Source organism: Homo sapiens, chromosome 19 (genome assembly GCF_000001405.40).
Source record: "Homo sapiens chromosome 19, GRCh38.p14 Primary Assembly".
Classification (NCBI taxonomy): Eukaryota; Metazoa; Chordata; class Mammalia; order Primates; family Hominidae; genus Homo; species Homo sapiens.
The window spans coordinates 31710620-31722712 of NC_000019.10; the positions used below are offsets into that span (position 1 = coordinate 31710620).

The following is a 12093-nucleotide window of genomic DNA, read 5'->3' on the forward strand; positions in this document are numbered from 1 at the left end:
GTAGGCCAATCTCCATAGAGTCAAATTTGTCAGTAATCCCCATGTTGCTAAATCCAGCGGTCAATTCTCAGGCCTTGGTTGTGGACATACCTGCAGCATTTGATGCAATTGACTATTTTCTCTTCTCTGGAGAACTCCTTTCAATTGGCTTTCAGAGCACAACACTCTTGGGTATCCTCCTGCAACACTGGCTGCAACATTTTAGTCTCTTTTGCTTAATTTCTTTCTTGTTTTCTCAACCACCATGTTGAGGGTGCTTCAGAGTTCAGTTTTTGTTTTATGTTGGTGGTGGGGAGAAGGTCTCACTCTGTTGCCCAGGCTGGAGTGCAGTGGCACCATCATGGCTCACTGCAGCCTCGAACTGCTGGGCTCAACTCAAGCGCTCCTCCTACCTCCCAGCTTCCTGAGTAGCTGGGACTACAGGTGTGTGCCACCACGCCCAGTTAATTTTTGTATTTTTTGTAGAGATAGACAGGATTTTGCCATGTTGCCCATGCTGGTCTCGAACTCCTGGGCTCAAGAGATTTGTCTGCCTTGGTCTCCCAAAGTGCTAGGATTATTGACATGAGCCACCATGCCGGGCCCAGAGTTCAGTTTTTAGATGTATGTTCTAGATATTCATCTTCTTGATAACTTTGTCTAGTTTCATAGTTTTAAATGCCATCTGTATACTGATAAACCTAACAAATGTATAACTCTCGGCCTCTCCCTTGAACTTCAGAATTGCATCTCCAGCTGCTACCTGGCACGGCTACTTAGTTGCCTAATGGGCATCTCACAGATTTAACATGTCCAACGCTGGGCATCCAATCTTCCTCTCTTCTCCAACCTACTCCTGCACAGTTTTCTACATTTCAACCAACTGCAGTTCCAACCTTCCCATTGCTGAGCCCAAAACCCTGGAGTCCTCCCCAATGATTTTGTTTCTCTTTCATTCTGTATCCAGCCCATGAGCAAATCCTCTTGGTTCTTGGGGGGTTTTAAACAGTACAACAGCTGCCATCGTGGTCCAAGCCATCACCTTGACTCGCCTGCACTCTTGTGTTCGCCTCTTGGTTGGTCTCCTTGAGTCGCCTTTTTCAAGCCTTTGCTGAAACATCACCTTCAATATGAAGCTTTCCTTGGCCACCAAATTTAAAACTGATCAACTCCCCTTTCTGTGACACTCCTAAGACGCTTTCCCCCGGCACCCAGAAGCTTCTCTCATGTTACATAATTTTCTTATTTATTTTATCTAGACTTCATCTCCCTCCTACCAGAAAGTGAGCTCCAGAGGAGCTGGGAGAATTTGTTGTGTCCTAGGGTGTAGAATCACGCATGGCACAATAACTTTTGTTCAACGAGTGAATATTGAGGACTCATGTGCTCCGCAGCCTGACCTGCCACCCTCTGCCCTCTCCTTCTAGTCATGATCTGGCTGTTGAATTCCTTCTCACCCTAGTTTTTCTCTCCACCCAGGTGCTTCAAGCTGGTGTCTTGAAGGACAGGCTTTGTCACTTCTCTGCCAGCTCCCCCACATCCTACTTCTTAAACATCCTTCCTGGCTTCTGCAGCAGCAGATCATAGAATCGTCTCTGCCCGTTCATCAGCCTCAAGGCCCTGATATACTTTTCCATTCACTAAGTTTATGCTCTGCTTGGTTGGAACTGGGATTGGAAATTTTATGGTCCAGGAATCCCTTTTCCTTTGCTGTGACATTTTTTTCCCGACTGCTCCAACCCATATTGAACTGATTTCCCCCATACCTAAATTATTTTAGGGCATGGATAATAACAATAAGCATTACATACATTTCTCCCTGAATGTTTGTAACAATATTAGAGAGATATTATTATTATTATTTTATCAACAAGAAAACTGAGGCCCAGAGAAGTTAACTAGTTAGCCAAGTTACTGTGAGATAATAGAGTAAAAATTCTAATGCAGGTTGGTCTAAATTCAAACCTTGTGCCCTTGGCCCTTTCATACTTACGGTCAGAACCAAAGTTAAATTCTTAGTCACTTCTAATTATTTCCTGGAAGTGGGATTCAAGTTCCCTGGGGGCTCATATATAGGAATGGTCATACCCCTAATCTGTCTGTGACCTCTTTGGAGCCTGGTTTAGAGGAGTCTTTCTGGCAGATTCATCAGGTTCGGTGGCCTTTGGTGGGAAAGGAAGAAAATGGGACAACTTTATGAATCATTATACAAGAAAGAACATCCCAATAGAAAACTGCCCTGCACGGAAACTAGAAAACCCTACTCCCTTTCCCTCCTGCTTCACTACTGCATCTTGGTGAAAACCACAATGGCACATGCATGCTTATTACGATGGGAAAGAAAGAGATAGATAGGTGTGTTTTTATATTTTCCAACCAAATGATTTTTCTGCTCCTTAAGTGATATTTTCAGAGACTATTGTTACTGAGGAAGCAGCCTCCTATAAATCTGGAAGCAGCTAATATAAATCTAACCATCCGCCTACCTATGTATTCAGTCCCAGGGAAGATACGAAGTCTCTTCCTTGTAGGGATTACGAAGAAGCAGGTACAAGTGACAAATCAAAGAGCAAGGTAAGTGACTATATTCATGCACTGTGCTTCTAGTTTGTAAGGCATGTTCTCATACATTTTATGGGCACTGTACTAATGAAGAGCTTTGAACAAGTTCATAGACTAAGTACGTAGATGATTCAGGGTTCAAACCCAGTTTTCAGACTCCAAGTCCAATGCTGTTGGCACCAATACACACTGGAAGGTTCCATCCTGATGCTCACATAAGTAATACACTCAGACAATAGATGAGATCTGCTCTTATCTCCTTATTAATTACCTTGTGAAGGTCAAAACTTAACTACTAGCTTCTTTGTGCTGTTATTTAGACTCCCCGGGGACTGCCACCTTGCCTTGAGTCTCCAACATGGCTGGCATCCCTGGACGGTAGAAATTACATCTTGCACATCATTTATTTCCAAAGGATGTCCAGCAATGCTCTGGAGGCACAGCAATGCTCAGAGGCCAGCAACAATCTCCCTTGGCCATGCAATATTCCCCAGCTGTTCTCATCCACATAGAACTGGCTCATCTTCAAATCAGGTATGCAGTAGGTGCTCAAAAAACACATGATAGTTGAGAAAATATGGAGCAAATGCAATCGTGGGCTGCAGGATACCTATACCCACCCCCTTGACAATATCATTCCTCCTCTTGAATTTGGGACGTGGGTCAGTCCTGGGAACAAGAGATGGCTTGAGCATGTTTGGATCCATGTCTTCCAGCAGCCATGGGAATCAACTGCAGACCCTTTGAACATGACATGCCACTCAATTTTTTTGGTGTGATGGAAAATCCCACACCCCCATAATGGCCCTGTCTCCAACCCTTCCACCCTCAGGTTGTCTCTCAATCCTTGATGTCAACTGCCAACCTCTCAGACCAAGGCTTGGGACTTTGCCATATGGGATGCCTTTGATTACAGTGGGGGTCACTATGAACAAGGATTGCAGAGTTGTTCAGAGGAGATTAAAAACCTGCCCCATCAGGCAGCCAGTGCATGCCCAAGCCAAGAAGAAAGCTAAGAATCTCCACTCCCACTTTATGATCTAACCACTAGACTGAGCTCCTGTTACTTGACAAAAATGATTTGCTTTTAATTAAAATAGGAGCATAAGCTATTTTTATCCCTATATTATTGGGCGGTAAGTAAATTCACAGTAACTCACTGGATTTTTTAAAATCTATTTTAAATATAAACACACTGCCATATTTTCTGTGGGTTTGAAAGCTTATGTTAAGTTTGCAAATAAGTCAACTCCATAAAGATAACATCTTTCCCTAAAAAATGTGTTGCAATCTAATGGCATGCTATGGAAAATTAACATCTTATTAAGAAAATACATGAATTCTCCCTCCGTTGAAAAGGTCCAAATAGCGCTGAGTTTCTTACCTGCCCGTGAGACAAGATGGACTGATGGGGTGGCCTCCAAGCCTCCAAACCCAGGCACCCCCCACCCCAGGAGTGTCCTCTGCCACCCTCACGGGACTCACATGTAACAAAAAGCTGTGATTTTATTTTGGGTCATGCTGAACTCTGTTTTTGAACTTATCCTGTTACATGTCTGACAGGTCCTGTATTCACGGAGGGACCTGCATTACTCTGGTTCACCCTGAAAAGATGCCATCTCAGACAGGCTGCATGGGAAGGTGCAGTGATCTCCCAGCCCAGCTGCCTGTCTGAACACCAGGGATCCAGGTGAATCCCCATAAGGATAAGGACATTAATAGCCAGATCTCACATGGCCGTAACAATTAGAGCTCAGTGATGGGGACAGAGCCCTGGACTTCTAACCCATTACAAGGAACGTAAAAACCCAAGGCCACAAAGGGCTAGGTATCATCTTTAGATGCGATGAGAGCTCACTGTGCACTGCTCCCCAAGTGAATTCCCTTCTGGTCCTGCCTTCTATGTATCTTCTTTTCCCCACTCCACTAAAGAGTGTTTTAGGAACCTAGCAGATGGACCTAGAGCCATGGCTCTTTCTTGTGCCTCAATGACACATGTTTTCAACACCCTGCCCTGGGCCTGAGCCTTTGAGGGGTTCCACCGATGCCCCGTCCAAACCTGCATTCACCTTGCTTCCCCTTTCCCTCCTCTGACCACTGGTTCTCAGAAATCTTACCAAAATCAAAGGACTTATGTAAATATGAAAAGGGAAAAGCTGTCAAAACCTGCATGAGTTGTTTAAATACCATGAATAAGAACCAGTAACAATAGGCACATCAATGAAGATGTGCTTCCTTCAGACTTGGCCAGGTGCCACCCAACGCGAGTCCCCCAGAAAACGCTGCTCACTCGGCAAGCAAGGGAGCTTGGCTCACCCGCCCCTTCCCGGCGCCCCCTCCCCAGGAAAACATTTTTGACAAGCAACTCATCTAGAGCCATTTCCCACAGCTTTCCTTTCATTTGCATTCTCATTAGAATAATGTGATTTCGCAGAGTGGGAATGTGTGTAAGTCTTCACCACCAGGAGGAAACGCTAAAACCCAGATTCCAGGGGACAGGGGAAGATCTGCCCGTGGGGACACAGGGCAGCCAGGAGGAGCCCCGCCAGGGCTTGGCATGTGGCACCAGCCAGGGTCAGTGAACGCCCACAGTGACATCACAGCCAAACAACCGGGACCTTATGAAAACCTCGAATTGACCCAAACCGGAAAGGAGGTTTCGAAATGGAAGAAACACATCCCCCACGTTTTGAAAAATAGGCCCTGGCATCAAAAAAGAGTAAAACAAAGTGTTTTCACAGAGAATGGGAAAAGCATGCCTTTTGCTTTCTCCTACTGCTTTGTTTTCTTGAAGATGCTTGCCCCTAATTTAAAATTGCCACATGCCAACTTTTAAAAGTGCTATAATGGAATCAGTTTCTCTAAGTCATTCCAGGGCATGACTTATAGAATAATGTTTTTAGTGTACCCACTGTGTGTGTGTATGTGTGTGTGTGTGTGTGTGTGTGGTGTGTTTGTGTTTTAAAAGGACATTTACTGAGTGATATCTTGTAAATATTTTTTGGTCATTTAAAAGCAAGAAACAAACAATACAAACATCCTAAGTTCTTTCCCACATCCTAAGCTGATTTCCATTCTACTTTGGGAGGTCGGGTTTCTTTTATGTCCTGAAAAATTGGAAAAGCTTATGAAGCCAAAAAACTTTGCAAAGCAAATTTTCCAGTATTTGCTTAGCTGGGTCTTCAAGCAAGGAAAGAAACCGTATTCGGTGTAAAGATACATAATAAATGTCTCAGAACAATTTCAGGACAGAAGAGGAGTTGAGAGTGGGGGATTGAAAACGGAGCTGGAAGTAGGAAAATGGGGCAAAATATTGAGTTTCAAATGACTGTAAAATGAGTTCAACTCCAGAGGAGTTCCTTCTGGAGCACGTTTTCCAGCCAGTCCTTGTAAACTAGATCTCCCTGCATTAGCAAGTCTTAAGGAGCGAAGAAAAAAAGTGAATTAATAAAATGTTCCTGTGCAACATTGTCCTACCCTGCTCAGAGATGCTTTCTGGGCTTCCTTGGGGCAAACTGGGATCACGTTCAGCATTCCAAGTCTAAAGAAACAGAAAGGGAATGTGTTCCACCTGCCGACTGACACCTCTGTCCTAGGTCACCTGCCCTGAAGATGCTAAATGCTTTTCCAACGTGGTGTAATTTGAGTTTTTTTATTTTTTTTTAAGATTCTATGAGCATATCACATTTCATAAACATAAGAATGACATTTCAATTTTTTCATATAAATGGCAAATTTGCAGAATGAGAGAAAAAAAACAAGACTCTAGAAACCATTTTTTGCACACTCAAAGAATGTGAGCACAGCCCCCTTCTGGCAAGGACATCTGTCACTCACACAGACGCAACCCTCTTGAAGCCAATGTAAACAGCTCCTTACTCTCCCTGCCTGGCTCTTGGGTGGAGGCGCAGAACCTTCGGCGGTGTGGATGGAGCTTCCTTTGAAAAGTGCATTTGCGTTTTGGATAGCTTGGCGAAAAGCACAGAGCTGTTTTCTGGGGTGCCAAACTGTTTCTATTTTCCCATTAAAAGGAAGGAAGGAATATATATATTCCTAAGTGGAAGTGCATTCACTACATACGCAGACGGTTACAAAATTTGGGCGAAATTAATACAAGGCAATAAAAATCATTTAGCATATAGATAAGTCAATTTATCATAGACTTTCTACTAGAAGAAACATGAGCGTTCTCGGCCATGACCCTGACAAATGTCTCTGGGCCCAGTTCTTTAAGCGTAGTCATCGGGCGGGCTCCGAGTCCCTGTCTCGGGCTCTGTGAGTGTCTAATAAAGCGTGGGTGTCAGGAGCTTTGTCAGTGCAGTCTCTGCCTGTTTGGTTCATCTCGTCTCCTGAATAAAGCCCTGCAGTGGCAGTGCACCGCGACTGAGATAGCTTGGCTGACACTATTGATTTCCATCCACAGTACACTTTGTCAAAAATCAAATAGAAGGCCCTTTGGACCCTTTCACCTTTACCAAACACACCACAAATAAACCTTTTTATATAAAGCAGGAGAAGGGCCGCTCTGTGGGAACATTGTCTCCTTGGGTAAATGTTACCGGGAGCCCTCACTCCAGTACTCCAGCACAAACTTAATCACAAGCCGAGTTGAGCAAGGAGTAATAAATAATCTGGTCAAGGTACTGGAAGAGAGAGGGGCTAGATCGGAGCCAGAGACTGGGCAAGATTGAGAGGGAAAAAGACAGAGGGAGGGAACGAGAGAAAGAAGCAAACATTTTAAATTTTGTTCTGTGAATCTTTTTTCCCACTTTATTTTTTTTTACATTTAAATTAAATTCAAATATAGTCTTTTTAAAATTGTAATTAGATTCTTTTTTCTTTTTTTTTTTTTTAAGGAATTCTTTCCCCAGCATCCACTAAGTAAACATTATAGCAAATACATTACTGGTCAGATGTATGCATTAAGTATGCCATAAACCTTTCTACTGGCCACCGACTCTGCTCCCGCTCCCTCTCTCTCCTGACACAGAGAAAATATTATGCAGTGACTCGTTTCTAGTGAATCCGTGTGATTCATTGCCCAATTTTAAACTGCCAAGCTGCTAAATTGCATCAGGTCTGCCAAAATTCATTCCAGGACTACGAGGAGATATGAAAAATTAAATGTCATCTTGGTACAGTGGAAAACTTTTACCTTTCAGAGAACAGAATATGCTACATTCTGTAATGATGGATGATTGCCCGTGGCTATACTTAACCTACTTAGTAATGTCATGTAGTGGAAAGCATGTTTACCTAAAAAAATGGCAGAAGACATAAACTGTATCAAGGTCTGACATCAACGCATTTTCCTCCAAATAAAGTGACTTTTTATGTTGATTCTCCGATATAAAATAATTTTTTCTCATCAGCATTTGCGGCTAGTACTCTGTGTTGCGAGGGTAAGGACCGAGGCACCTCGGCCATTCTCTCTCTCCGTTCTCGGAGGCACAATGCCTTTGTGCTACCTGACTCAAAAACGCTGCTATCTGTTCCGGCCACAGCTTAATCACATAAGTCCCTAAGAAGGGAGAAGCCGAGATAAAAATATTTGAACTGTTGAAGAAATACGGACTCACGGAACCTACAACTGAGTACAGGAAGAAACATTTTGCATAACGACTCCAGCCTGCCTGGTAATTTTTCTCTTGAGCCTAGCGTTTTTCTGACAGCTTCATTTGTTTAACACACAACTACCGGCACTCTTAGTTCTAGATTATGATACCGGTCTTCGGTGCATTATTATATCTTCGCTAAAGGAGGAAATTTGGGAATACCTGGACTCTGATGTCTCTAAAATGTATGGCCACTGAGGGTTTGCTCCGATTCCTATTATGGCCTCATCTTGCAGGCACATGCAAGATGTTCGCCTAAGAACTCTCAGCTCAGCGAATCCCGGCTCCTTCCTCAGTGCCGAACGCAAGGGCTGTGATATTTATTATTATGAATACCATTTGTATTAATCATTACGATAAATGACTGGTTTGGCTATCTGAATGCCTCATTTAGAGAAACTTCTCTCCTATGTCATTGTTATAAATTACTGCCAAAGCTCTGTTTCACCCAAGGCGGCTTCATTCACTCTTTCATATTTTTCTGTCCAAGAGACGTTGTTACCCATCCTCCAAGCAATAGGCTGGGAGGGCAATTGTTATCATTGCAAAGATGTCCACATACATGGCAACAGAGAGTTGTGGATTGTTGTGGGTGATATTTTTTCCCCTTTTAGGTGAACAAGAGGTATTCTTTTCACATCTATATTTGATTAAATTATTCAGTGCTACAAACTGCAATCATGCTTTATTAAAAATTATTACAAATTCATGCAAGGACTACAGATGTGAAAGAATTTATTGCCTGCTTGTTTTTCTAATTTGCATCATTGATTTTGCAGGGAAGAGTTTTAAAAACAATCTTTATTACATAGATTTTAAGGGGAAATCACAGAGTAATGTCTCGTAAGATTTATGATGTACTGCGTGTTGATTTTATTTACATTTTTTTTTATTTCTTTGCTTTTGAAGAAAGGTTGAAAGATAAAATTAGGTTTGCACTTGTAAACAATGAGGCACAAAGATAAAAAGAAATGTTTTTCTAATAAAGCAAGCCCACAGACATGAAGTGCAGAACGTAAGGTCAGAAAACAGTTACCAGCTTTTGAGTCAATAAGATAAAAGGGATAATGAATTATACTGTAAACACCTAAAACACAGCACATCTTTTTATGTTGTTAAATCCATCTTCTCAATTCAAGAATGTTATTTGAACAATTCATCATTTATAGAGAGCGCCAGCTATGGCTCCCACATAGCATGTTCCAACATGCTGCGGTGGCACTGGTCAGAAACCCCTCATTTATAACAACCCCCGCCATAATCAAAAGTAAACCCAGAAGATTTGATGCAAGTCAAATGGGGCAGAAAGTGACTGGTTAGGCCCTCCTAGACTAAATAATTCACTAGGCACTAGAGAGAGACTAAACCAATGCATGCATGTCTCCTAAAGAAATGAATGTCACATTATATTATAACCAATTTATAAACATGAAATATGCATGTTTAATTTGCACTTAAAAGTTTAATTTAATGTAGAAGACATTACTTATTCTCTTCTTTGTTCACCCTGGCTAACCCATGAATGATTAAAGAGAAGTTAGAGGACTCCTGTTTCCTTTTTTTTTTTTTTCCCAAAGACCATCTCCACAGTTTCCCAACTCTGCTTCCCATTGAATTCTGAGCAATGACTGGCTACTTTAGCAATTAAAATCCAGGGGCAAAGACACAGCAGCTTCGTTGGGCTGAGAGACTCCGCCATTCATCATCTCGGCTGCCATAAAATAGCACTAGATGGAATCTTTGATTTTAGCTTTAGAAGATCATAAATCAAAATCTAAAGCACGGCTGTCAGAGGCATCACCAGGATTATCCATTGGAGAGGGGCTGGAGTGCAGGGCACACACAGGCATTGTTCCCACTGAACTCACCTCCTGATGCATAGAGAAAACTCCTAGCCAAGCACTTGCTGGTGTATAAGTACTTTATCCTAAGTGACCCATAAAAAGACTCTCAAATACAAGGTTTGATAACTACAGTCACAGTAATTGTACGCTTGATATGTCTGAATATAAAATAAATAGGCCCGCCTGGCTGGGACCCACCCTGCCCAGTCCCCTGCCCTGATCGCCTGGTCAGCTCCCTTACCCATGAGCTGGCTGAGTCCTGGATAAGGGTGTCTGTTGGCGAGAGAGGCCTCCAAGTAGGTGCCCCCACCTGCCTCCCCGACAGTGAGATGACTGCAATGCAGGGATGATGACCATGATGGGAGAGATGCAGCTAGAGGGAATCCATCCCCAGAGGAAAGAAGTCAGCCTTGCACTTATCAGCCCCAAGTTCATGGCTCATGTTCAATTGAAAGTAATGAGTATTGATATGCCCTGTGCTACTGAACGAATTAGAGAGGAGAGAAGCTCAGGATGACCCTCTCAATACAAAGAAAGATCTCCCCTGAAATCTCACTTTAAGGGAAGAACCCACATGTGCCCACCCAGTTTTCGCAAACCATGTTATTATACTTCTTGGAGCAGGACTCGTTCCTTTACTGCAAACAGAATGGCGTGGCCTTTGAATCCAGATTATGCCATCCCAGCAGTGGGTGGTCAAAAGGGAAAGGTTTTGTTCTTGTGAATCAGAAGGAAGCAGGCCAACATTTTCTCCCCCTCTGTTGTTTCTGAAGCTTTTAGGCCACTGGCTCAGAATATCGTCTAGCAATAACACGTCCAATAGCAAAGGAAAAGCAGCCGTGACCCGTGGCCGAGAGCATGCATTTCAGACAGGTGTCCGGCTAATTAAAAGAAACCCCGGCCCAATTTAGAGAACCCCAAGATCTCTGAATTCCACTGTGGGTTGCTGCATGCTCAGACCCTCCGATCCCTGCAACCAGGCCTGCTCTCAAGCCATGTCTCAGACATTGGTGGTTCCAAGGCAGCTCAGTGCCGGTTTGCCTTAGATGAGCTTGAATCAGTTTTCGACAAACAGCTGGTATGACGGATGGTGATACCCGGAAGATAAACAGCATGCCGTGCTTTATAAGAATCTTGACTGCTAATTTGAAGTGGAAGAAAGAGGTGCCATAATGAGCCAGCTTCTCTTGTCTAAACGTGGGTATTGAACCTGGCTGCCTTGGAGTTGTGTGTATTCACTTGGTATGGACATTGACCAAACCAGGAGTCGGCGTTCCAGAGTGGGCGCCAGGTCTTGCCTGAATGTGCTGTCTGCCTTTCAAAGGAACCAGGTGGTAGCCACGTGGTATGGCTTCTAGACCTGGTTCTGAGACTTGGCTGCAAAATACAATTCCCAGGAGGCACTTTGTCAAAATGTTCATGCCTGAGCAAAGTCACTAGAGATTCTGGTTTAATTGGCTTGGGGTGAAACGTGGACATGGGAGTTCTTAGAAAGCTCTTCTGGTGATTCTAATGCAGAGGCAGGGTTGAAAATCTCTGTGCTAGACTAGTGGGTCTTGAACATTTTGGTCTCGGAACCCTTCAGAATGTAGAAATTCTGAAAGTTTTAAGGACCCTAAGTGCTTTTGTTTAGGTGTGCCATTAGAAATTAAAACTAAGAAAATTCTAAAATCTACATGCAGTCATGTATTTAAAAATGAAAATAAACCTATTATATACTAACATATCTAGAATGTTTTCATGGAAAAAATAACAGTATGTTCAAAAAGTTAGTGACAAGTATGGTGTCTTAGTAGCTCTTTGCAAACCACTGGCTTAATACAGAAGTCACTATATGAAAAAGGCATGTACACGCCCATATTTATAGCAGCACAATTTGCAATTGCAAAAACATGGAACCAACCTCAGTGCCCATCAACCAATAAGTAGATAAAGAAAATGTGTATATACACTGTGGAATACTGCTCAGCCATAAAAAGGACAAAATAATATCTTTTGCAGAAACCTGGATGGAGCTGGAGACCATCATTCTAAGTGAGGTAACTCAGGAATGGAAAACCAAATATCATACGTTCTAACTTATAAGTGAAAGC

General features: G+C 42.9%; 1 long non-coding RNA gene across 2 annotated transcripts; it reads left to right on the plus strand.

Annotated features, from left to right (window-relative positions):
- The first annotated feature begins 2150 nt into the window (after nt 1-2150).
- LOC105372361 (uncharacterized) lies at nt 2151-8215 on the plus strand. Of its 2 annotated transcripts, none has more exons than XR_935906.3 (4): nt 2151-2553; nt 2957-3075; nt 4105-4231; nt 7398-8215. It is a non-coding gene; the product is annotated as an uncharacterized LOC105372361 (long non-coding RNA). The 2 variants fall into 2 exon arrangements; XR_935905.3 differs by lacking the exon at nt 7398-8215 and adding an exon at nt 4976-5164.
- Nucleotides 8216-12093: the final 3878 nt, after the last annotated feature.